Raw genomic sequence first — 27,481 nt, forward strand, 5'->3', positions numbered from 1 at the left:
ACGTATATACCTATAGTACGTAGATATATGATACTACACACACACGCAACACAGCCTATCAGTGCAGTTTCTCTGAAGAACCCTGACCAGTATAGAGCTCTGCTTCCATAATTGTTGCCTGTGCTGTCACCTGGTGCAGAGGTGTTCTGAGGACATCTGTTGAATGAGGAAGGGAGGAGAGAGCTGCTCTTGCGTCCTGGAATGGGGGCGCTCTCAGGCCAGTTGCCCATATCCCTCTGAGAAACTCATGTAAATTAAAACACTGGCAAAAAATTATTAAAGTTATAACTCACAGAGCTCCTGCCTCTGCGTGCCTGCCTCTGCGTGTCTTTGCTAATATTTTCAACGTTTGTTAAGAAATCACGTTTACCATTGTATTTCCTATACCTGGCTCACCTGAATCTGAGATCCCTAACCACACACCTGAGAACCCTACTGAAGCCATTGGTTATGGTCTCCAGTGGAATCAGTTTTTACATTTACAAATGACTTGCTAATTCAATATGAAGTCACAGTAATTATGACTTAGTCCTGTTCGCCAATTTCCACCTTCCATATAATGTCGACAGTATAAAGACAATATACTCATTGTTTCTCTAACATGGGATTAATATTTTGTCTGCAATAGACAAGACCTCCCTCTTTTCAGAGTCCTTTGTGATGTACCCTATTAATCAGTAATACGTTAAAGACTTCTCACATTTCAGAATGTATAACAGCTTATGATTGAGTTACTATTTAATTTTCTGCCCCTGATTTTTGAGGATTCTAATCCCAAAGTTTAGTCCAAGCTACACATTTTTGGTAGTTGTTTAATGCCCTTATAAAGTTTTTCTTTTAATGGTAATAACAAAAGGTCTGATTTTAACACTACCTTTTACGTAACTGGTTTAAATTAGCAAGGTGTATTCAAAGCACACTGACTTACTGATTTAACATATTACTGAAATGGATAATTTCTTACTTACATGATTAAACTGCCTGGTTGTTTTACTATCCTAAAACCAGTTTACTAACAGGAACACACACCTTGCCACCCAGGAGGAAAGCCACGCCAGGAAAAGGACAACAGGACCCCACCTAGGGCTCAGGGTCTAAGTATTTTCATAGAAAATGAGAAATAAAAAATATTTGCATTCTTTGCATTTTTCATCCTGCTTTCCCTTCAATGAAGACTATTCTGAGATTCAACCTTTAAAAAAGAGTCAAGGGTCAGTCTCCTTTGAGGGACTTGCTCCAGCATGGAATAAATGAGAGCCAGTCTTGTTGAAGGTCACGTTACATGTATGCTTTGAGGAAGTCAGTCTATGCACGAATGACGTTGGAAAAACCACCAGTATACTAATTCCCCAGGAAAGCAAATCCTATGTGGCCCACAAAGGTGGCATCATTTCAAAGTGCCAAATATCCACTTACATCCCTGCAGTTGTCCTTGCACCATTTCCCTCTCAGGTAACTTTAATCAAGTCTGTTAACATCAACCATCAGCTCACTTCCTTAAGCCATATCTGCTACTAGATTGAGGTTTCTTAATCCTAACGACCATCATCAAATTGCAATCATCTGGGGAGACTTTCCCAAAGCACTATTCCTGAGCCCCACCCTAGACCAGTTAAATCAGAATTGACAGGAATGGAACCTGGGCTGATTCTAATGAATCAGGCAAAATAAATGCTAAGACCCACATGACAGACGGGCTTTCTAAAGCAGACCTTTAGAATCAGATGAAATAAACCTTCTCCTCTGAAAGCTCCCCCACCAATTATTCCAGGCCACATGCTTCACTGCTCAGGTAATGAGAGGGTCTGGGCTCCAGAGGTTCAGCCACTGCTCTCTCAAGATACTTTTCTAAAACGACAAACCTCCCAAAGAATTTTCCAGAGTTTCACATGTGCAACAGTTGAAACTATGTTGTGTTGGGTTGTTTTTTTTTTTCCCCTGAAAACACATGTGTCCTTTTGTTTCACGGTCTCACTTGGCACCAAGCACCTAGTTCATTTGCCCATCAGATTAGCTCGAATTACATGCTTTTACTGCTCCTACAAGCTAATGCAAGAGACCTACAATTAACTGTGGGCTGGTTTAAGCCCTAAATGAAACTAATGTCTGCCCCGACCAAATGCCTCAGGACCCACTTTTTTTTCCTGTAAATTGCTATTTTTGTAGGCTGTCTTCCAGCAGTTGAGCCCCAAAACAAGTTGGAACTGTAAACCTACTAGATTCTACTCACAAGTATTGTTGAATCCGTCTCTTGCACTGTCTCTGAAAGCTTAGCAAAATGCACAATAGTGTCCTTATGAAGGAGGACAGAATTGCCACTCTTAATATAGTCTCATTCAAGTTCACATAATAGCAGAAGTGAGAGAAAACCACCCACATCCCTGCCTTCCATGGGTAGGCTCCATATGTCAAGACATAGGAAGACATAATATTGCCTGCCTTTATATCTGCAAATTGAAGAGCTAATTCATTTCTAAGGAAAAAGAAATACATTTGGCACTGAAATGGAAAATACCAGGAATGTTGGAAAATTCCAGTGCCAGTTCTAAAATGATGACAGGGTACACAAATGTGTTCTGGCTGGTTAAATTTTGCAAATTTCAGAAAAAGATGAATGGATAATAAGCATGATTCTTGCTTATGGACCCCCATGGAAAAGTAGCATAATATCGGTATTACATTACCTTTCATTTCCATCAGCAATGAGTTACACTATGTCAGTCCCTAAGAGAGACAATCAGATAAAACCCTACCAAGTGCCTGTGGAATTTGCTGCTCCTGGCATCAGGACTGAAAGAGCAGGGTGAATTAAGCAGAGCTAATCGTGCTTTTGGAGGTGGAAGGGTGGGGAAGAATGCATTTATGTAACTCTCCTCCGTAGAGCAGCAGACTTCATTTTGCCAAAGATCACTTTTCTCCTAACTACCATCATAAAAGAACCAATGAAGGCTTTCAGTAATAGGAACTGCGAGTGGAAAATGAGGTCCCAAACTGATGTCTTCACTTGCCTGACTCAGAAACCATGTCTTCTGCAATGACTTTAATGGTACAAGTAGTATCTGTTACCTCCCCTGAGAGCCAGACTCTTGGCCTGACATCCTTAATAGTTAAATTAGACCACCATTTCCTCTGGCTCAACTTTTATTCCTGAACAAGTCATACTGGTTGCATGGTCAAAGGTTGGATTATACAGAAAGTCAATAGGTGCTTTTGAGGCTAAAGAGACAAGCACCTGTCCTACTTTAAAAGCATCCATTCCTCTCTTGTTTTAAGATTGAAATATACCTGGAAGGGTGGTTACTAACCTCTAGGGTTCACTTGCCCAGGAAGCAGGAGACCATGATCTGAAAAATCATGTCATCACTTCCATGTGTACATGACTGTGTTCAAATATGTATAGATGACGTCCTAACAGTAACAGACAAATTCATTTAAAAGCATTTCCTCATTTAGAGTAGCTTTTTGACATTATAGGTTTCATCAACATTGGATACTGAACATACAACCACAGGCCATGAGCATCTGGACAACTTTGTGACATTATGAGTAGTTCCTCCATGTTTGGACTCACCGAGCTAGGAGGCCATCAAATTTCATTATTGTCTGAAGTCACTTTCAGGGCTCCAGAAATATCCTCTAGAGAGTTTGAGAAACAAAATGCCACAGTTTTCTTATTCTTGTTCCACATATTGGTATTGATACCTCCTAATGATGTAAGTGCAACAGACCCCCCAGGTTACAAGTCACAGTAACCTGAGCATGTGCAGATGAACCCAGCATGCCTGATTAGTGACCCTGGAGCAGGCTGGAAAGAAAAATTCAAGCACATGTGAAATGTAAGTACCGAACCCAGAAATGGGGACCAAATTAAGAAGTGAGGGGTGCCCCCTTTTGTTGCAGTATGAACTTAAAAGTCAAGGACCCAGCACCACCTCTCTGCATAGCCCAAATCAGGTCATGCCTCCTTGCATTTCCTTAGCTCCCTTATAATTACTCTCAGCCTATAAAACCTGTCCCCAGACCCCAGCTCCGGGAGACAGATTTGAGGTTTCCTCCTGTCTCCTTGATAGTCAACCTTGCAAGAAAGCTTTCTCTTTTGTCAAAAGCCAGTGCCATAGTGTTGGATTCTATGTGCATTGAGCAGGGAACCCATTGCTTGGTGACAATTACCATAATGATGATAATGTCAGGAACAGCATACAGAAATAACGACTTTCCCAATGCTATGGAGATCCTTAGGTTCAAGAGCTGAGGTCTTCTCCTCCTCCAGTTCCCTTTCTACTTTATCACACATTTCTTTGTCATTTCCATAAGATCAAGATGACCTTGGCTTAAGTAACAGCTAAGAAGGCAGACCTTGGAGCCCCGCTCTGTAGGTTTAAATCCCAGGTCTATCTCTCACTAGCTGTGCAGCCTTAGGCAATTGACCTGCTCTCAGCCTCCGGTTGCTTACCTGAAAAATGGATCCCCATTGAGTTTCTACAGTGAAAGAGCCATGGAGGGCCTAAGCCTCAGAGCCTGGTCAAGTATTTGCCATCTATACTGCCTGTTTTCCCTCTCATATAATTCCCTTTCATCATTTGATCTGTTCATCATGCACTCTTGCAGAGACCATTTCAGAAACCTCTCCAAACCAGGCACTGACACAGAGCACTTCTCCGGTTCTATCTGTTCCAAACATTTCCCATATTTCACCTTTTTTTTTTACTCTTCCACATTTTCAAGTTTTGAAGATTTGTTCACAATACAATGATTTAGGGTTCTGGATCTTTATTTATGAGCCCTCCTGCCTCTTGCCCAGATACAGGGTGTGGAATATGCTCTTAAGTTGCCTGCAGAGACACAGTTAACCAGAGCTTGCACATGTGTGCATGCACACACACACACATACACACACACACCCATCCAGGTACACATCAGAGACCTGTCAGCAGGTAATTATCTTCCATGCTGATGGCTCTGAATTGCTGACTGCCTTCCAGCTACATTCACTCTTCAAACTTCCAACTTCACTTCCTGTCCTCTTTGCAGCGGTTTCTGACTTCAGGAGCCCTGAGGCAGTAGACCTGCTCAGCCCTTTCTGTCTTGCCTCTTCTTGCCCCTATAAAGATTTGCTGCCCTGAGCTATACAATTTCCAGAGCAATCATGTAAGATACTTTACAACCCAGCCCAGTCCAGAAGCAGAAAGCTATCTTTCTGTAAAGTCAGTCCAACTGTTGTCTTATTATTAGTATTTTATTGGCCAAAGAGTGCTTGCCCAGATATAGTGGGGCTATTTTTACCCAGGCTGTCCCTTTGCAGGTGCGGCAGGCAATGCAACTTGAACCTGTGTGGTTTCATCTAACGCAGGGGTAGAGGGAAAAGAGTGGGCTTGGTGAGTTCATTCACCTATGGGATCCTCCTTGTCCCTCTTTTATCTTCTCTGTGCTATCTTCCTTTCTTTGCTCTGATGAATACTCCTGGTGGCTTGGTACGAGCGTAAAGCCAGAGAGGTTATGTAGCCGAAATTCCTAAGAAGGGAGAACTATTTCACTGTGCACTTACAGATATGTTGTTTCACTGATCCACAGTAAGTGCACAGTGCAATAGCATATCTGTGCACATCAGTAGCATATCTGACTCTATTACCAGTAGAAACCACAGATGTTTTCACGTAACATTCAGTTGTTGCAGATTTCTCAAAATAACACTTAGGCTCGTTGCTAATTCTAAATGATAGTAGTTATCAGACCTACAGCTAGATCTTGTATTTTAATGCATTGAAAGAGCACATATATCACTGTATCACAAATTTGGGTTTTTTAGTTTTTGGCATTTAGTATTAGTGGATAAAAGGACAAGGTGCAGGAGGGGTTAAGTGGTTCTGCAGAGCTGGTCTGACACCCAGGGAGCTCTCTGAGGTCAAGGGATCACTGTTCCCACTGCTGGTCAACTGGTGTCAAGGTTTTGGTCCCCTCAGCATTATTCGTGGCCCCTCTATATTTGCGTGATAGCTGAATGCCTCCACCTTTGATATTGTTTTAGAAAAATGTTTCTCATTTAGCACTTTGGGAATAATATAAAATTTCAAAAGCACGGTGTGAAATATTGTAACTATTTTGAAATCTTATATGCTAAAATTCATTCAAAAACTTTGTGTGCATATGTGTATGTGTGACTCTCTTACTCTCTCCCTTCTCTTCCTTCCCATTTCCCAAATAACCAACCAAATGCGCATTTTTTTTTCATGCTTTCAGTGATCTTCACTAAAAAGCTCAATGTGTGCTCGTGATAAATACACCCCTGTGGCTACTTGCAAGAGAAACAAACCCCAGCATGAAAATACCAAGTCCTTCCTCTTTTCTTATGTAAATAAATCTCCAGATGGCTCATTTGTAAGACTGTGTTTACTAATTTGTGTTTTCTTCCTAGACAATCTGTTCCCAGTAACCATTCTATCATTGAAACTGGAGGTAATGCTTACAATTTTACTTAATAAAAAGTCTATCAGAAGACTTGGTCCACAGGGGTAGAGTTGGTAGTGCCAATGCCACACACACACAAAGCCCCCAGGAAGGGCTAACCAATGCTTGTGTTGTTGCTCTTGTTGTTGGACAGGAGATATGTTAAATTAGAATCAGAAGAGAATAATTACTTTCATACATAGTAGAATATCAGAGGTGGAAGGGGCCACAGGCTCATCTAGTCAAGGAATGGACATGTACGCCATGCACGCTTTGCTCTCTCCCCCATCTAGTACCCATGGCAGACATCACCAATCATTCATCCTTTCCAATTGGCATCCTTTCCAATTGAACTCAGAGGTGATCTCAAAATGCCTCACCAAGTCACTACCAATCAATCACAGTTGACATGTAAGATCATACACATTTGCCATCACTTAGCCCCTCATTTTACTGATGAAACAGTTGAGACTGTGAGGGCGGGAACAATATTATTCAACACTTCCCAGCCAGTTAAGAACATTAGATGTTAGGCTGGGAAATTTAAACAGGGATCTATGATATTGGATGGGAAATTACGTCTTTATTTTCACTACCTCTAACTACAATCTAGCATTTTCTTCATTTATGAAGAAGGTGACAAACCACAGTAGCACTAGCACATCTGACTTTGTCACCAGAAGTCACAGACATTTTCATGCAATATTCAGCTGTTGCAGATTTCTCAAAATATCACTTATGCTCATGGCTAGTTTTAAATTAAATCGTTATTAGACCTGCAGCCAGATCTTATATTTTAATACACATATATTACTATATCATAAAATTTTTAAAAAGTATTTTGATAACTATATTTCAATATATTTGGCTTCTTTTGTAATTCTACGTATTTCACGTTATGCCCCTAAGGCATTGTTCTGAGAAGGGAGCCAAAAACTTCATCACACTGTCCTGAGGGATCATGGCACAAAAAATTAGGAAAAACCCCTGGTTAAGAGAAAAATCGGGTTTCTTAAACTCCTACCTTCATGTTCTTCCCATAAAACAAGGGCCTCACCGTGAGACCGCTGCCATCTTGGACTGCCCCAATATTTACCTCCATATTAATAAGAAGGTTTTCTAATTTTAAAAAATTATTCATGCTGATTCAAGAGAGAGACAAAGCAGAGATGCATCAAGCAAAGAGTACAAGTTCCCAAGCTCCACTCCCCCAAGATAACCATTGTGAACAATTTGGTATATGGCTTTCCCGACACTACACTCATTATGTAATAAACATGGAATAAAACAATTCATGCTCCTCTACAGCTGGATTTTGTCACTTAACAACATAAAAGAATATAGATGATATCACAGACATCTTTCCTTTTTACAGCTTTGCCGCATTCTTTTCAGTGGCTCCAGAGTGTTCCAACTCTATGAATGCACCCCAATTCATTTTATGAGCCCCCATAACGGAGATTCATAATCCAAAGTTTTCTTGACAAAAGGTAACAGAGAGAAGTTATCATTTGAACTTGAGAAGCTTAGAAGTTTGGCTTTCACGGGTACCACAGCACTCTATGGAACAGTCCTGGTGATGAAGAGGTCGCCAGCGAAATAAACCACAGCCTGCAGCTCTCTGGACCAAAGAAGGTGCCTCTGTCCTTGGCAAACAGATGTGGCCTTTCCAGGAGGTGAGTGTCTTAGGAGGTGAGTGTCTCAGGAGGAGTTGGAGTGGTGGCAGGAGAGGTTCAGTCCCCAGCCGGGTGATTCCAGGGTGAGAGTGACCCAGTGCAAGGGCATAAACCAGACACTAGGCCCTATATAGTCTCAGGGACACAACAGCAAGCGTTACCATCTGCACTTCGTGGGTTGGCGAAAAGCCTCAAGTTCTACTGGACTCGGGGCTCCGCTTGAGAGGACACCCACTCATGGCCATGGAGCAATTCTCCCTCTCCAGCTCTGATTCTGTTCCTTCTACAGCTGTGTGTGATACTCCTGCAAACCCCTCCTACTTCAGAGCCACAGCTGACCGGGAAACCTGCCACCTTGGGATCAGCAGGTTTGGAGAACTATTGTCATCAACTGCCTCTGGGTGGACAAACGGGGAGAAAAAAATAAAAGAAACTCTAGTCAAAATCAGTGAATACATAACTTGGTTGACATCACCATGCCCAACACTACTATTAAAATGAAACCAGAAAACTCAGGGAAGGCCAATACAAGAGCAGAGGCTCCAAAGAAAAGAGGAAAACTTGTTTGCAAAAGGTGAAGTAATGAGACAGCAAGGCACCAGGACACACGTGGAAACCCAGGAGAAGCCAGTCATCTCCTCCCGCAAGTGGCTTCAATGTGCAGGGGAGAACTGGCCTGACAGTGCAAGACTGAAGCACGGGGCTGCTGGGCCCAGATCCCCCTGTGATTTGGGGAAGTGGCTTCCCGGCTTGGTTTTCATTTCCCCAGCCACGAAATTAAGGGTTGGATATAAGAACACTTTTCATCCGACCCCATTCCTCTACCTCTGTTCATTTGTGCTCACCACCCACCAAGCTGGTTCTGCATTCGGGTCAGTGTCCACCTCTGCCTGGCTCCTTTCCTCGGACCCCCTTTTTTTTGTTTTCTTTGTACGCCTTTATTTCTCAGAAATTGGGCTGCCACCTCCTCCTCCTTCCTAACTCGGGTGTCTCTTCTCCCCCTCACAGATGCTTTCTTCTCTGTCCATCGCATCTTGCTGTCTCCATTCTGCTTTGGGTTTCAGCAATTTTAAATTCCCTGGCTTGGAGTCAGCTCCTCTATCAGAACCAATGTGGCTCCAGACTGTGCTACCCCCGTTCCATGCAGGAAATAAAACAAAGCCGGGCTTGTTCCCAGTTTGATAGGCTGCAAGTTTAGGGAATGGGGGCTTCAAATCTTTCACAATTTTGTTTTGGCACCAGAGCGTCTGTGTTTAATTCTGCATCTCCTGCCAGACTTGGGAAGCTGAGGCGATAATATCAACATGTGGAGAGATGGGGAGCAGAGACTGGCCTCTCTCCCCTCCCCGGCGGTGGGGGCAGGGGATAGGGTCACACGAGCACACACAAACACACATGCTCACATACACAGGCACACACGTGTACAGGCTCCCTCAAACATACACACTCACCCATGCGCATCCAGACACATATACAGGCACACAAAGACACACGTGCACACACTGATACATATACTTCAACAAATACACATGCACAGTTATGTGTACACCCACAAAGAAACATTCACCCATGCAGAGAGACACACACTCACCCACCCATAAAGACACATATAGCCACACCAAACATGCACACGCAGACACTTGTGTGCACACTGATACATACATTTCCCCAGTCATGCTCACACACATAGGCACAGGTTCATATTCAATCACACACAGACATACACACAGATGCACACACATGCCCACTGATGCACACACTTGCACACAAACAGGCAGAGGGAGGTGTGTGCTTTGCGTGGCAAGGGGCTGGGAATATCACAGAGCAAGCCATTACGGCCGACCCCCAGATCCCAGGACCTGAGAGAATACAGTTTGTGATCACAAGGCCTCTCCAGGAGCACCCATCATAAAGTTCAACCAATTAAGCAGACAGTTTCTATGGAGACGTTTACTTTACTCAGCTCTGGAGTTCTGCAGCTCCTATGTCCTGGGAGATACGCTGTGGCTGCAAGTTGTGGTCAGTCTGCCGCAAACCCAAAGCCCCGTAATCTCTTTGCATTACTCTCTGCAGATAACTGAGTTGTCTTAGAAAGAACAGGCATGGGAATGAGATGACATTAGCTGACCTCATGTAGCACCCGAGAGGTGCCCAGAAAGAATCCGCCCAGAGCCCAACCACAGCTACCACCAGGGACCACCCCATCGTTCACTCCTTCACTCACACATGCATGCACTCAGCAAGCTACCCCTGAGGGCTAGCCAAAAGCCACAGATGTCCCCAGGCTCTGGGAGCACATCCACAAACCAAGAGGAAGGTCCCTGTCCTTCTGGATCCTATAGTCACAGTTGCGGGAGGAGGCAGACATTCATCCAATAATCACACAAAGGGATGTGAAATGACAACTGTGATGAGAGCCCCAGTTCCGTCACAGAGTGAGATGGGGCAACACCATCAATTGCTCTGGCAATGTCAATTTCTCTGGTATACCACCCTGTCTTCTGCAGCAGTGGGGATGCTGGGGACCAGGTAGGAAGGACAGGACGCATCTACCTACAGACCTGGCCCACAGAGAAACCCAGTTACGTTAGCCTCATTGTTCTTGTCATCCACCTCTCTAGGCTCTAGAATCTTGGAGAGAAGGAACGAAGATCATTAAAAACTCATGATCACCTAAGTAGGGTAGGGGGGCTGTAGCCATAGATGCCTTTGCATGCTTTTAGCAGGAGAAACAGACATAGGAGAAACAGGCTACCATGAAGAATAAGTAAGGTAATGAACCTGCAGCACTTAGCAGTGTGCCTGGCACCTAGAAGCTGCCTAAAAAATGTGGCTGGTGTTGCTTTCCTGTTATTTAGTGTCCTAGTTATGCTTGAGCTCAGGTCTTCAGTGAAGAGATCTACATCCCTCAGAGAGAAAAGAATTGCAGTGAAGGCTGGAGGGGACCATACACCCCAGGGAGAGGGTCAGGGCAAGGAGCCAAGCAGGCTGGGCGAAAATTTGGCACGGCACATCCAGGAAAGGATAAGCCAGAACTGATTCGCGTCTCCTCTTCTATCTGATACTTTAGGGCAATTTAAAATGTGTTATCTGACAATATAGAAAGGAGAACATTAGAGTGGCCATGCTGAAGAATGTTAAGAAATCATCGTTTTACAACAGATTATCCAGTCCTGACTTGGTGGAATCAGGACTTCTGTCTTTATTTGTAAAAGTCCACCACCAACAGTTAGCATTGCCTCCTAGAGCCAATAGCCTGTGGGTACTGGAGAGGGAGGGGTGCCCGGCTGCTGGGGTGCCACAGTGGCCACGGTGATGTAGATTCTCTCTCCATTGGGCTTGCCCAATACGTTTCACGGGACGTCTCCCCTAATCTCTTGACCTGCCTCTAGTTCCTCATGGAGGTGGAGACCTGCCTTGAATCTCAGGCCACTGTGAGCCTTGTTATCAGGAAAGCAGGGTTTTGAAATTTCATCTGCTAATCCATGAAAAACAATACAAGACACTGGGTCTGGATACTAGCAAGCCCCTGTTTAAATTCCTCTCTGACACTTACCAGCTGAGGATCTTGGGCAAGTCACTAACCACTGTAAGCCTTACTTTCCTTGTCTATAAAAGGAGAATAATAAGACCTACATCACAGAGTTATTGTGAGAACTAGATGAGATGATGCCTCTAAATAGCTTTTGTTTGTTTCTACTCCACCTTTCTCCAGAGTAGGGGTGTGTGTAGTGTGTGTGTGTGTGTGTGTGTGTGTGTGTGTGTGTGTGTGTTGAACAGGGTGGATAGAAGGAAAAAAGGGATGGATAAATAAAGCCTAATCAGGCATCCCATAATGACACAGACGCGGCCACCAACACAGCTCTTGTTCTAACAGCCACCCCTCACAGTGTCTCTAAGTCAAGGGTGTTCAGCACAGTGCTACGTTTCTCATTTCTTAAAAAATTGTAAACATATTGTAGTCAGTGCCTCATGATCAAAATGGAATTCAAACCATCTCTAGTAATGGTGATTTAAAGCTTGTTAATCACTGTAAATTATTTTGACACCCAAGTGAAAAGTCCTCTGCGATGCTTTTAGAATCCCGTTTTCATTTAACATTAATTAAAGGCCACTACCCGTAAAGTATTAATAAAATCAAATTCCCTAAAGGAGCTCCCAGCTGACAGGCTTCGGCTCTGGGCGAGTTGTGGGACCTTGAGCAAAACACAGGCCATAATGAAATTTTAACCATGGAAATGTAATCAGCACGACCATGATAAAGAGAGGGCATTTCTTGGGAAGATAATAGATACTTTCAATAATAAATTTTATGATCCTCATTAGCCTACCTCCAGCAGTTTATGGCTACCATGGCTATTTAGCAAAAGACTTTCAAGTCAAACAACCTTACTGACACGCTTTATTATTGTTTCATGGCTCTATTTGATTATCCTACAAACATCAGGCCCAAAACATATATTGGGGGCAGGGAAATTGGCCCTGGTGGTGTCAGAGCAGAAGAATGTGAGGCTAAGACCAAGGACAGAACCTGGATGATGATCAGAAAACAGAGAGAAGGGTTTATGTCACTCTCACAGAGTTTATGTCCCTAAAAAGTAAAACGGTGGCCCACCAACTTCCTTCTTTAAGAAGGAGTGAATGTCAATTGCTATGGCGTTTCTTTAATCTTGTCTCGTTGGGATTGACTGGCTCCTCAAAACACCCAACCCAGCAGCTTGGCTCCTTTGTGAATGGATAGAAAATGGAGTTTGTCTCCTTTGGCAGCTCCATTTCCAAGGCTGAACCATAAAGCCACTGTAGTAACATTCATGGAGCTGAGCAAAAAGCCCTGGGAGAATATGTACGCATGCAGTCTGGTGCACGGGCTCAAATCTGGCGTATCCTCCTACAAAGACCTGAAAGCATTTGCCATACTGCCTTTCCCCTCCCCTCCTTGAACAACTGAATGGAACCAAGAAATTTTTAATCTATTTTTCAGAAACTAAAAGCCATGACTGTACATCTTAAATACTTTTTGCTTTAGCCCATTTTCATCTGAAATCCTAATGACTTACTGAGAAGTTGTAATTAATAAAGCTATTAGCCCAGATTCTGACCTCAACTCTAAATCCTAGGGCTTTTGTTATCATGGAGGCAGGGCTCTCAGATACGAGGAAATATCTCCCCTTATCTTGGTGGCATAAAGTTCTGGTTGAGAGCTGTTCTAAAATTATTTTTGAGTGCTCACCCCAAATAAGGACACTGTTTGCACTAGAGGTGCCCATTATCTAAAGACTAGGTGTCCATTCCAACAGCTGATGCCCTCTAACTCCAATCCACTGCAGCCCCACAAAATTCCCTGGGCCATTTCTAGAGCTGCGCAGGGCAGAAGGAAGGATTCAGGACATTCTCCCAACCACACACATTTATGTAGGATAAATCTGAATAAAATGAACATGGAGTCCACATTGTTGTTGGAGAAGCTTCAGACCCAGCCAGACCTTCTTCTAGGAGAAGGAAAGGTATTTAGAGGTGTTAATTTCATCTATGAAAGCATCCAGCCCATTAATACCACCCTTCCCAGCCACTGCAGGGTCCCCCAAAGCACAGCTCCCTAAAATATGAAGCTCCCAAGAGAATCCTGAGATCCTCTATTTTTGACAGGCAGTTCTGTCCACTTAGGTAGGCAGGGCCATCCCACAATGTTCTGCCTGCAAACTTGCCAGCTGAGCAGGCAACGATGAAAATGTAGAGCAGATGGACAGTCCCATCTGCTCACAGAAGTGATGACAGGCCAGCCCCCGGCCCCCACCAAGTCACTTGAGATGGGATGCAATGATCATGTGAGCAATGTTTTCACAAACCTGTCAGAACTTATTCATCCAAATAATGGCTGTTCTCAAAGAGATTGCATTTAAAGGAATTATAATTGCTCTTTTCCTCAAAAGCACTTAGAAATCAGCCTGCATAGTCCATTTCCAAGCTACTCAGTAAGAGTGAAGCCTGAAGACTAAATGAGAGGATTAAATAAGGTTGGTCTAAAGCATGCCTACTGTGGTGCCAAGTATATAGTAGGCACTTAATAGCTGTTGACCATTTTCACAATTATTATCCTTCTGTCCTCTTACAATGTGGTTGGCTGCCCTTTACAGGGAAGTGTAACCCTCAGTGAGCAGAGCCTGTCAGTCACCCAACTTATTTCCCATGAGGCACTGGGAGCACCTGATGCAAATTAAGGACTAAAACCACAGTCTTGGGTTAAATAATGTCACTGTGGTATAGAATGATGACAGGGCAAGCTTGGATCAATGTCTTCAGGAGCACTATGGAAATTACAAATTTTATTCTGAAATCTATCCAGCTATACCACGAGGGCTAAAGATAATCATTTGGCCTCTACCTCTTCCTGCCTTCAAAGTAGGAGGCAGAGTTTCTGTGGCAGAGATAATACGGCATGCTCACCAAACCTGCGTCTTCTTCCTGGCCACCCAGGAAGCCTGCATTCCCAACATCCTTTGCAGTTTGGTTGAGACCGCATGAATTTTAGTGCCATTTTATTCACTCCCCACCCCACTTCCCTCTTTCAGGCCATAGGCATGGGCTGTGAGGTGAAATCAAAGGATGGAGGAAGCCTGGGCACAGCTCAGAAAAGAGGCAATCTCCCCAGTAGAGTCAACCAACCAGGAATATCTACATTAGACTTTGTGTGAGGAAGCTGTACAATGTTATTGTTACACCACTTAAATTGGGGGACTATTATCAAAGCAGCTAACATGAAGTATACTGATTAATACAGCCTTCCCACTAAAGTTTTAGACAACTTCCTGTTTGTGAGAAGCCATCTCATATATGACAAACCCAGATGAAGAAGTAGATTAGTTAAGATCTGGGTAAGGACACCCAAGATTTTTCCCAACTGAAGCCACGTGAAGCTCTAAACTGCACTCTAAAACAAGTTCCACTTCTGGAGAAGGGCCGAATACATGGACAATGGTGGGTAACTTTGCAGATTATCAATTTCCTACCTCCAAACTAGTTTTGTAAGCAGTTGAGATCAAGATATCAATCATAGAAACAGCTTTAGAGCTAGAAATGCACCTTAGAGTCACAAGAAGCATTTGATTGTTCAGAGTTAGAGGAGGTTGGCAGTTTTAGAACAATGCGAGAGGGGGACGCTGAAGCCCAGAGCAGTTGAAATGACATATCTAAGGTCACTAGTCAGTGAGGAAAGAGGCTGGGACCCCCATCCTACAATTCTCATCAGTTCCACCTCTCCCTTTACAGTCTAAAGAACAAAAGCCCAGATTTTTAAGTGAGAATGAGATGGTAGACTCAAATTTATGTATTTCTAGGGCAAGAAGCAGGTAGCTCCAGGGAATTCTTCATGAACCCAGTCTTGAAAACCCATTTAATGGTTGATTCAGTATTTCTGGGACTTGACTTAAGCCAAACAAAAAAAATTACTGAAGTGATGAGGGAAATAAGCAAAAGATAATAGCTTCTCCAAAGAAACTGCCCACCTTGTATCTGTGGTATATTTAGAATTTCACTCCGGAAGGAGACTTGATTTGACATAAAACATATAAAAACTATCTTTGAAAAAGAGCAGGATATCACACTCTTGCATCAATGTTTAGGCCAGTTCAAATACTGGCTAAAGTAAAAGAGATTTTACAAAACCGTCTATACATAAATAAATAGCACGTTATTAAGTAATGACTTATTAAATAAGAAGGCATTTTTTTCCAGTTGCATATTCACTTGTAATTAACAGCTACTTCAGATGTTTGACTTTGTTGGCCCTGTTTCTTGGGGAAGAGGCTCCACATGAGAACTAGTGGCATTGACTGGAAACAAAGGCAGATGAAAAGTCAAAGTCTTACAGCTCCTCTTCACAAATAGGAAAGAGTAGTTGGAATTGGAGGAGGCATCATGAGACAGTCCTAGTCCTTGAATGTTTACTTGGCGGAACCCAAATCCAATCCAACCAAGGGTGTGGTCTTTCAGATGAGACTGTGAACCTCTGAAACTCAGGCCCCTCGGCACAACTCACGTGGGGGATGCAGAGGACTGAATAGTGGCCTCCAAAAAGATATATCCACATCTCAAACCCCAGAATCTGCAAATGTGACCCTATTGGGAAAAGTGTCTTTGCAGATATAATTAAGTTAATAATTTCAAGATGAGATCATCCTGGATTATACCGATGGGCCCTAAATCCAATGACAGGTGCCCTTATAAGACAGAAAAGAGGAGACAATGGAGAGAAGAGGAGAAGTTCATGTAAAGACAGAGGCAGAGATTGGCGTGAAGCAGGTGCAAGTCAAGGAACACTTGAGCCTCCACAGGCCAAAAGAGGCAAGGGAGGCTACTCCCTGAGAGCCTTCCCAAGGAGAGTGGCCCTGAGAACACCTTCATGTTAGACTTCTGCCCTCCAGGACTGTGAAAGGATCAATTTCCATTGTCTTAGCCACCCAGTTTGTGTGATGTGTTGCAGCCGCCCTAGGAAAATGACACTGGAGGCTGCTGGGAAGGAAGGCCCATGGAATGTCCGGGAAGCTCCTCAAAGGAAACCAGGTAGGCCCCGTTTCCTCTTTAGTGTAGGGTGAGTGGGAGATACTCGGCGATGACTCAACAAATATTTATTCCCACAGCAAACATTTGCTGGTAGAGATGTCTCTCCATCCTCCACTGGTTCATGGGTTAGCAGAAAAGGGCAGGCTTAGGAAACATTCACCAGAGCACTGTGAGAAGCACTACAGGTGATACAAAATTGGTGCTCAGTCTTCAAAAGTGTCTCCCAAAGGAGTAGCATGCCCTATTGTCACCTAAGGGCCCGCTGGGCATGGATAGTTTCCAACCCATGAATACCACAGTGGTAAGCAATACACCTATAGGTTTCTCCTCCTTCTCTTTCTCCATCCCTAACTCTGGGCAGGGAAGGTGAGGTAGAAGACAGCAAGGAGGATTGTGAAGTGGAGGGGGCAAGACTCAAATTCTGTAAAAATTCTCTCCTAAGTCTTGGGTTGGGACTACAACTGCTATTGACCTGTGGCCAGATGGTAACACCTGTAAATTTAACACAGTGAAAGTAGGATTCTGTCCAACATCATTGAGAGCACAAGTGCCTACCAGAAGCAAGAGCTTGCATGAGAAAGTCTCACTCAGCTCTGTCTATAACAGTCCTCAATTAAATATGAAGGCAAATGGGTGACGTGGGGGGAACCCCCAGAAAACCCACACTTTCCACTTCGTTTTCCTCAGATTGAAAAATAAAAGGCCAGTCAGTGATAATCTGCTGAAAACAAACTGTTGGGAGAATTTGCAGATTCTGAACATGGAAGATCAAATGTTGTAATAGAAGGGAATGAGGATGTTTAAACTAACCGGAAAAGATAGATCCACATTGCAGAGCAATCAGAATTCACTGAGTCTGTGCTTTTGTGACAGGAAACCACCAAGTTTAACATTAAAAATGTTCATTCAGAAATCCAAAGAGTTGTTTTTTTTATGGCTCGGGTCCTTAAAAAATAACAGCAGGGGCCAGACCAGCAGGAGTAGAGGGTGCAGAGCTGAGAGGGGAGAGGGTGCAGACATGAGGAGGGCAGATGCCCGCATGACATCCAGAGTCAAGTTCAAGTAGGGCCCGGGGTCAGCGACCCCAAATGAAATCGCACAACTGGTCAGCAGCCTTTGACTAAAACCAATTCTGGGAAAGAGACAATCTCCCTGGAAATGTTTAGAACACATACTGGCTCCATCCTTTTCTGCTCTCCAAGGACGACTGAATCCATTTTGCTCAACACAGCATTTTTAGACAATGTGGGTTTTATGGTTTTTGTAAAACAGAGGGAGGAATGAATTGCAAAACCAAATATAACTAGAAATGTCTTTGTAATTTTTAAATAAAATAAATGAAAACAGTTCGGACCAAGGATAGCCCTCCAAGAATGGAAACCCAAACACAATCACTTTCTGCTGAAATAGAGGGGAAGGAGCAGAAGTAAATCCAAAGGGATTGAGATCCAAAACTTAAACCCAATAAACCCAATGGTAGAAATTAAAGACAAGATATAAAAATCCTACCAATCCTAGAGGCTAGGAGAAACACACACAAAGAAATCTATTATCTTTTCAAATGTTCATGGGTAAGCATCAAATTTGGATTTTAAAAGCTTCCCACTATTTGGGGAGTATAGATATTTATTTTGTAATTACCATTTGTATCTGAGCAATCCTGTCTCTAGTAGCCAAAAAACCAAAACAAACTGCAAATGCTTTGTAAATCCCTCACTATGGCAAGTCTTAGTTCTGTCTAAATTTTTCTTCTACCAGGGCAAGTGTAAGTATAAAATCCGAGTATTCTATATTTACTAAACCTGTCTAAATGTCCAGAAGAAAAACGATTGAGTAAATATAGAACAGCCACTTAAGAGAATAATATGCAGCTCTTTATAAGATGGTTATGAAGACTGTATTGCCAAACAGAGACCGATTAGTTTACGCTGTTAAGTGAAAAGCAAAATGAAAAGTTGGGATGGAAAGGAATCACCCCAAAACAGGAGCTATCTCTGGGTGCTAGGATTAAGAATGATTTTTTCCTCTTTTCCAAATTTAATAATGCAATTACAGTGAAGAAAATTATTGATAGATAGAAACTTTTAGAAGCTTTCAGAAAAAATATGGCCCTAAATTATTCTATTGGATGTCACCTTTCTTGTAAGGATGCCAGGTGAGAAGTCGCAACAGATTGAAAACAAGGACTTATTTCTTACCCTGAACTCGCCTCTGTTTGAGTCCCTAGGGAGCAAATTTGGGGAAAATTAAGAATCATGTTTTGGGCATTTTGGGTCTGAGGCCTCTGAGATAGGATCATGGCAATGTCTATTAAGTAGTTGAGTCCATAAATCTTCAATGAAGAGGATCCTTTCTACTTTAAATATGACAACCGGGGGATAATATTTTCCATTTTCAGTTAATGGTTCTTTTGGCCACTTTTAATATGCAAAATTATAATACAGTAAAAGAACTTGACCAACCAGTCAGATCTCACTTCAAATGCATTTTGGGTTTAAGTTTCCAGCCAACTGAAATTCTGTAATTCTTAGGCAAATGCAAATAAATATACTAAAACAGGATTCTTGCTTACAGGTAATAGAGACCAACTAGAGGTAATCTAAGCAAAAAGATAAGTTATTGGGAAGATATGGGGGAACACATGGAATTGAAGAAAGGGGTGAAATGCCAGGCATCCGAGAAGGAAGAATCAAAATACCGTCAGGAGTCCAGGTAGAAGAAAATAACAACTGCCTCTTTAGGGGGCAACTGTCAGAAAGAATCAACTCAAACAGCTTCCAACCTTGTAGTCAATATGCACATTCTCAGGAGAGATCATCCTGACTGAGTTAGAATTATTATGTGCTCGTATCTTGGCCAAGAGAGGGCAGGGTCCCCCAACTGACAGTCCCACGAAGCCCATACATAAGGTAGGAAGGATGCCACCTAACCTCCAAGAAGAAATGGATAGTGGGGCAGGAAGATCACCCATATTCCCCTCACTGTCCACATCTGGGAACACATGTTCCGTGTGCCGTGTTTTGTATAGATGTGGTGTAAAAAGAAAACAAGAGCAATAGTTATAACTGGTCTAGGGAGGCTTCTCTGGGTTACGGACATGTTCATGCCCACTAATACATGAATCACCCTGCCTCATAAAGACTTCCAGTATACACACTGCACACAAACTCCATGGTTCAGAGCTTTAGAAAATCAAACAAGAAATTAATAACAAAGACAGTGACTTTGTGGTTATGTTTATAAGCAGCAAGTTCAAAATTAAATGAGCCAAATAGTGAGGGAGAAAAAAAAGCCAACTCTTTTGCGTTAAATGCCTTGAACAGTAAAATTAACAACAGAACAAGTCTCATTGTACCATGAGGCTGTCTTATTGACTTGTTTTTGAACTCCACGTTTGAACACAATGAAAGTTGTGTGTTTTTTAAATAAAACAAATTTTTTTTTTCTCTCACAATGCTACATAGAAACCTCCAGGGCAAAGTAAAATTAAACCTCATTATTTCAAATTCCATTCATTCCAGAATTATAATAATTTGGCTGGGGCTGCATTGAAGCCTACCTTTGTACTCCCTTTGAGTGGTGGTTTCACTGAACAAATCAATAATGCAAACAAGATTGCTGGGAGTCACACTTAAGCCACTCAAGAGAGACTTCAGCACACAGCTTACATGCAAACGACAGTGCTCCTTATGGAGGCATCTTAATCGTCCTTAAAGCAGAACTGGCAAGGCTTGTTAGCAGTAGTTCAAATGTCTATAGACCCTTTCATTTCTTTTAAAACTCTTTTGTGTTGAAATCTTCCACTCGTTCCAATTGTTTGTTCTCTGTTGGTCCAATCAAATGTTGTCTAACATGCTGTTTAGGTGCAAAAGAATGAAGAGTAAAGAACCTATCTGCCGAGCCTTAAAAAAAGGCTGCTCCCCAGCACTTTGGGAGGCCGAGGCTGGCGGATCACAAGGTCAGGAGATCGAGACCATCCTGGCTAACACTGTGAAACCCCGTCGCTACTAAAAATACAAAAACAAAATTAGCCGGGCGTGGTGGCAGGCACCTGTAGTCCCAGTTACTTGGGATGCTGAGGAGGGAGAATAGCGTAAACCCGGGAGGCGGAGGTTGCAGTGAGCCAAGATCGCGCCACTGCACTCCAGCCTGAGCGACAGAGCAAGACTCAGTACTCCCCGACCCCGAAAAAAAAGGTTGCTCCTTCTACTTCAAAGCCGGGAAACAATAAAAAATGGTGAGTGTGTACAAATGCCAGCAAACATATCTAAATGAGCTCAGATCTTGAATAGGATATAAAGTAATATAATCCTGTTAGAATTCTCATAAATTATTTACAATGTGCTCTAATCTGTCACCTCATTTGGGTATCACAGAACATACATGAGACACACGTGGCAGAGACAGGAAGTGCTCACCAGAGAGCCCACGGGCTCCCTTGCATTTCCCAGACTCCCTTGCGGGATACGGAACAAGAACAGCAATAGTGAGTGGCACTTCCAAGTCCAGGCAGATAACTGGAAGCGTACTTCCTCTATCTTCCCGTTTCTCTGTTAGGGTGACTTTGGAAGCCCCTTGATGAGATGGCAAGAAGATAAAGAGAGCTTTGATCTCTGACTTAGATTCTGATCGTCCTCACCAGATGGAAGAGGGATCTTGCAGAACACAAGCATGAGTGGCTCAAGAATTAAATAAATAAATTTTTCTCAAGGAAAAAAGATGACGCTTTGTGACTAAGTCACAAGGATCTGGAATTGTATCGGTTACTGCGGTATAGCTTAGCCTGCTCTATCACACTACTATGATTGTTTCCATCTCACAGATAAGAAAACTGAGACTCAAAGAAGACATATGACGTGCCAAAAATCATCGTGCTATTAAGAGGCAGGACTGAGAATAGAACTCAAACCTCTTGATTCAAGTGATCTTTCCCTTACGACCCAAATGTTAAGCTGTTGCCTGCATGCATAAATTAATGACCAGCTGGTATTCAATGACAATCTGTACAATTAATACCCAATGCCAGAAAACATACTTTTGTTCTTAATTTCTTTGTTCAATCCAGGGCCTCTTTACCTTCTTCACTTGCAGGCGCTGGAGAATGGAGAGACAAACACACCAACAAAGCCTAGAACATACCACGAACCTGTGCTGCATTTCATTTTTTTGTATAAAGGCTTCTTCATGAAATCAAAAGAGTATTGTTAAGGGTGAGTGGTGAGAACAGATTTGGGAACCAAAAAAGGTAAATATAACTCCAATTTTTCATTCTGCCAAATTCAAACAAACATCATTTTAATGACCTGGCAGCCCTCACAAAGTCAGCAACCACCAGTTAAATAAAAAGCCCATTCATTTAGAAAAAGAAGTGTCAACACAGGCATTTAACATAAGTCAGGTTTCCACAGCACAGTGACCCGACATATGGTGACATGCACATATGGACTGGGATTAAACAGCATCGCCAAATGTAAATGCAAAGAACATATCAGAATCCCTTCCCTCCCATCCTAAAGCCAACTCATACACCATCCAGGGACAGATCTTAATGTAAATATAAGAACTTAGTTGGGATTTTCAGAGGTCTCCATAATGTATCAATCTGGGAGTTAATGTCTCCATCAGTGTTCATGAGTAATACAAGTAGTGACTACCAACTTTTCTTGGTAAAAAAATAAAATAAAATAAATTGGCATAGACTATCTAAAACAATCCAGCATATGCCTCATAAAAATACAAAGCTCCTACGAGAAAAATTAGGAATACATCTTTACGACCCTGGAGTAGGCAAATATCATTTAGAGAGGACACAGAAAAGCAATACACATCAGAGAAAAACACAATTATTGAACACAGTCAAAATTTCACATTTTTGCTTATCAATAAACACCGCTTTAAAAAAATGAATAGACATGCCACAGACTGGAGGAGAACATTTGCAACATATACATCTGATAAAGAACTTGATTCTGGAATATGTAAGGAATTCATACAACTCAGTAATAAAAAGACAAACAGCCCGATAAAAAATAAGCAAAATATTTGAATAGGTTTTTCACCAAAGAAAATATTCAAATGGCCAATAAGTACATGAAGGAATACTCACTGTCATTAGTCATTAGGGAAATATAAAATAAAATGACAATGTCATACTGTTACACAATCAGCAGTAATGGCTAAAATGGAAAAGACTGGTAATACCAGATATTGGCAAAGATAGGGAGGTATCAGAACTCTCATTCGTTGCTGGCAGGAGTGTCAAATCTTACAAACACTTTTGTTATATAGTTAAATAGACATCTATCCTATGACCCAGAAGTCTTCTAAGTATTTATCCAAGAGAAATGAAAACACACGTCCACAAAAAGACTTGTTCATAGCAACTTTATTCATACAGCTACAAACTGGAAGCCACCCAAGTGTCAATTAACAGTAGAAAGGATAAACAAATTGTGGTAGATTCATACAATGGAATACTAGACGGCAATAAAAAGGTTCAAATTGCAGAAACATGCAGCAATATGGATGAATTCCCAAGACATTATATTGAGTACTGAGTGAAAACATTATGTTGAGTGAAGCCAGACACAAAATAGTCCATACCAGATGGCTGCATCTATATGGAGTTTTTCACATGAGAAAATTAATAGATGATGATAGAAATCAAAGCAGTGACTGCTTCCAGAGTGGGTGGTGGGGTTGACTGGGAAAAGGTACAGGGATACTTCCTGGACTGATGGAAATATTCTATATCTTACCAGGGGTGTGGGTTACATGAGTATCTGCATTTGTCCAAACGGACAGAACTAAATACTTGGAATCTGTGCATTTCACTAAATGTAAATTATACTTCAATTTTTAAAAAGCATTGGGGAAAAATTATCTTTTCTATTTTAGGCCAAGACTACGGATAGATCTCTAAGAGAGCTCTTATAACCTTAGAGAACAGAATCTCGCCAGAAAACAAAGGCCTCACCCAGACCAGGGGAGGTGGCAGGGCGTTTCTCTTCAATTAATTTGCAGTCTTAGACCAAGGCAGGATATAATGATGACATTAACCAACCACAAATCCCAGTGACTGCACATCTTGGAAGGCACTGGATAGACTACGGCAAGTGTCAGACACCTCCTGAGTGCGAACCTCTTGAAATCTTCTCGTTCAACCTCTTACTCCAGGTACCTCTGCAATGATCAGTTCAGTGCAGGCGCAGTCCACTTGCACTTAGGGGCAGCCTAATGGTGCCTAATCATTCCCTAACCTCATACCTCTTTCTGCCTTGGTCCTTCTCTGATGCCCTGGGGTGGGACCCAGCACATGCATGTACATCCAGGAACTGCAGGTGAGTTACAGCCTATGTGATCACCTTGGCTAGTGCCAGATGGGGAGCTGGTAGGCCGATGCATCCCTCCACATTGCTTCTGCAGACATTTTTGAGCACACTTCCTAAGGCTCCTTAGGAAACCCCTTAGGATGGTGCCTCAGTCACCATTGACTACACAGTGATCAACTCAGTAACATATATCTCTTTACTGACTTGCCCTCCTTCCCTTTTCCACTCCATCCTTCCCTTCTGCTCCCTGGGACCACTTTTTCAATAAGCCATCTGCATACAAATCTTTGTCTAAGGGTCTATTTTCAGGGGCACTAAGGCCAAGGCACAGTTTGTGTATATGTACAGAAATTTACATCTACATACACAAATGCTTCCCTGGGTGCTGAGACCATGTATAACACAGACCCCTATTCAACTGGCTGCGTGCCTGGAATGTTGTTCCTTGTATAAACTAGAAAGAGACTGATGGCCTCCTGCTAAGAGAGTCAGCTCTTGCTAAGATACACACCTTGATAGGAAACATAACAAGAACCATGACCAATGCCCATTCCAGAACCATTGCCTTTTTATGTAAGTAATGAACCCATCCCTGGGCTGAATTCAACCCCAGGAGTGTTGAGTCACTAGGTTTATACCATTGATTCTGCTGCTAATGACTAATAACTGAGTGATGGATGGAATAATACTGCTTCCAGGGAGACACTTACCTTCTCAAAGAAAAAACTCAAAACGTGATTTTTAACTTCTGAATGACTATTTTTCTCATATACAGTGAATTACGATAAAGTATCAAACCAATATCGAAAGACCACTAATATGAGGCAAGCATCAGTGCTGTTTGTGGTTGCATCTCTTGTTGGGTTCCATGGCCTGGCCAATCCTCAACCACATGAGAGTACTCTTGACAGACAGAGAGTTTGGACTTGAGGGTTCACATATCCTTTCTTCATTCATCTACTGTGTATACAGTGCATAGCTTCAAGCAAGGAATGTTGCCCTTTGTGTTTCTGTCTTTCTCCTGGGCAGTGACTCGCCTTTTTTTTTTCTTTTTTGGACTTACAAAGAGACTAGTTAGTGAAAGACCTAGTGTAAATATGACAAAACCCCTTCAGTGGGGATAGTTCATTAAAATCAAATAGCTTGTTACAACAGGTTTTCAGCTGAATTGCTTAATGTATGTTTTATAAAACTTCTTTACAAGGCATCTGCCAATGTTTAGCCAGAATGTTGGGTTGGTGTGTTGGTTTTCCTCTTCAGGGAAGATTCAAGAAAATGGTAATGGGATGTGAAGACAATTATATAGAAGCATGTTGTTGAAGACTGGAAAAATAAATGAAGAGCTATTAAATCTGCTAGAATTGGAGCCAGGCTCTAACTATGCGTAGAAACAGACTGGCTTCGGCCCCATCAAGGCACGTTGAGATCAAGCCCATGAAGGATGCATCAGCTTCCATTATAATTACAGCCACTGCTCTCAGTTTTACATAGTTCTCACTCCTGACACAGGCAGCGTTGGAAGCACAGAGAATCCGACAGAAATGCAACTTCTATTTTTGGAATTCCAGTGTGTGTGGAGGAGGGGGATGCAATGCATTCTGACTTTGATTGTGTTTTCTCTAGTTTATAGATTAACCTAAAATAGACTGTGTGTTTCATTAGAGCGAAAGAGGATATAAGATCTCTACTGAAAGGAAAATCTTCTTTCTTCTTCTACTAAGTGCACAAATAATTGTTTGCCACTTCAGCAGCTCAAACTTACAGAGTAAGAAATGTTCATGAGTATGGCATCCAAGGCTGTCCACTCTCTGACCCCCCCACTACTTCTCCAGCCACCTTCACCAAATAGACACATGATCCAATATTTTAGGTTCCCTGCTGTTCCCTGCACACACCAGGTGACTTCAGGCTCCAAGCTTTTGCTCATCCTGCCCCTTCACCTGGCAAGCCACTCCTTGTCTCCTTGTCTCATCTTTCATGACATAATCAGCCTCTCTAGGAAATTTTCCAACCCAACTTTTCCATTTCAAACTAGGTTTGTCCATTTCCTCTTTGGAAGGGGACAACCGTTCCCTGTACATCCTCTTCCATCTTGCATCCCAGAACACTAGAAAGCAAATTTTTTGGAGGTAGAAACTGTCTGACTCATTCCTGTACCTTCACTGCTTAGCACAATGTTGAACACATGGTATGTCTTATGACTAACTGAATGAATATCACACAAGGCAATTTGACTTCTTTTCTTGAGAAAGTGAGAAAATATTGGAGGATTGCTGCCTTGGAAAACATTTGGAAGGATTCGGGGCTATGTTCATCCAGAGATTCCAGGATATTACACACAAAGCCCTAATAAAGCTATAGCGAAAATACATTCTGCAAAATCACTAAGGCTTCTCCTACTCAGGGAGTCAATGTGGCTTAATCCACAAACTGCACCCTGTGCCGCTTCTCATTTCCTGATTAAAATTCACATTGGATTTCCAGAAGAAAAGTGCAGTTGAACAGATGAATGAGGAAGATAAGGGAACCCATTTGGACGGCACACACTGAAGCTGCTTAAAGTCTGCACTTCTCTAACTTAGGAAAATATTCCTCCTCGAAGAATCTTTGAGACAGTACTGTACTTTGAGCCTAAGCATGATCACTCTTGGAATCTGAAGGGCAGTATTGGAAACCACAAAGTTCCTAATAACTTCACGAATCCATAGACCTCTTAATAATATTTCCATTTCTTCCTGTGTTCTTCTTAACCAGATAATAATTACACAACGAGGTTTATTCAAAGATTGAAATTTTACCTCGAGCAAAATTTGGAGGTCAAATAGGGAAGGAACTCACTCAGAGAAGAGAATATAATTTAAAAATACTTTTCCTCCTACGAGGGGAACAAGTAGTTATTTTGTCACATTAAAAACAATGGTTTCTTGCAATGCATCAAAGACATAAATCTGAACACACCAGACCTCTTCATTATCCCTGTGGCCTAACAAACTCCTAAAGGCAAAGGGAGCCAGTTTCCGAGCAGGCCAAGGGATTCAGGCTGTACGCTCCACAGGGGACAGAAGGCTAAATCAGCCGGAAAAAGGTAGAGCTGTACAGTTGGGTAAGCACAAGTGCAGACAAGCGTGGATAATTTTAACTCCCATTACAGCTGGACTGACCACTAAACTGTCACCTCATATCGAGCTTGTAACTGAGAAACCACAATTATCCTTTTGAGCACATTTACGAGGAAGCACGGGGAGCCCAAGGCGTTATGGGTGAGACTATTCAGAACAGGTGGATAGGGCAGTGAGGGAGGATTGTCACATGTGGCTCCCTGCAGGGACAGGGGAGGAAAGCCAGGAGGCCAGCTTCATGGCAGCCCTTCTATAAAAGAGACAGAGCAGAGAAGAGGCAGGGATGAAAAGGAGATAAAAAAGCAAATAACAACGGAGGGAGGAAAATGACAATTGCTGTAGTCTTTAGAAG

General features: G+C 42.4%; 1 long non-coding RNA gene across 3 annotated transcripts in view, besides 4 other annotated features; it reads right to left on the reverse strand.

Annotated features, from left to right (window-relative positions):
* Positions 1 to 27,481, reverse strand: part of LOC105378523 (uncharacterized) — a 129,587-nt gene that overhangs the window by 89,816 nt on the left and 12,290 nt on the right. For 2 of the 3 annotated variants that reach the window (XR_946380.3, XR_007062320.1), the window contains one exon: positions 4,754 to 8,517. The exons of the other annotated variant lie outside the window; for it this stretch is intronic. This is a non-coding gene — a long non-coding RNA (uncharacterized LOC105378523). Of the gene's footprint in view, positions 1 to 4,753; positions 8,518 to 27,481 lie in introns of those variants that run through there. 3 annotated transcript variants of the gene reach the window in all.
* Positions 4,100 to 4,269: an enhancer, noted in NCBI's record as "experimental_10514 CRE fragment used in MPRA reporter constructs". NCBI's record gives its function as "activates a minimal promoter by MPRAs in K562 erythroleukemia cells, with activity observed for the introgressed 10:123046873 or rs10886894 variant allele {active_cell/tissue: K562}" and the evidence as "EXISTENCE:reporter gene assay evidence [ECO:0000049][PMID:34662402]".
* Position 4,185: a transcriptional cis regulatory region, noted in NCBI's record as "Neanderthal adaptively introgressed variant 10:123046873 (GRCh37/hg19 assembly coordinates) or rs10886894 in the experimental_10514 CRE". NCBI's record gives its function as "modulates activity of the experimental_10514 enhancer by MPRAs in K562 erythroleukemia cells {active_cell/tissue: K562}" and the evidence as "EXISTENCE:reporter gene assay evidence [ECO:0000049][PMID:34662402]".
* Positions 6,018 to 6,978: an enhancer, noted in NCBI's record as "OCT4-NANOG hESC enhancer chr10:123048706-123049666 (GRCh37/hg19 assembly coordinates)". NCBI's record gives its function as "activates a minimal SCP1, AML or CMV promoter by ChIP-STARR-seq in naive H9 embryonic stem cells {active_cell/tissue: H9 hESC(naive)}" and the evidence as "EXISTENCE:reporter gene assay evidence [ECO:0000049][PMID:30033119]".
* Positions 20,908 to 21,108: a silencer, noted in NCBI's record as "peak1116 fragment used in MPRA reporter construct". NCBI's record gives its function as "represses an SCP1 promoter by STARR-seq MPRAs in K562 erythroleukemia cells {active_cell/tissue: K562}" and the evidence as "EXISTENCE:reporter gene assay evidence [ECO:0000049][PMID:32103011]".

Source organism: Homo sapiens, chromosome 10 (genome assembly GCF_000001405.40).
Source record: "Homo sapiens chromosome 10, GRCh38.p14 Primary Assembly".
In the NCBI taxonomy this organism is placed as follows: Eukaryota; Metazoa; Chordata; class Mammalia; order Primates; family Hominidae; genus Homo; species Homo sapiens.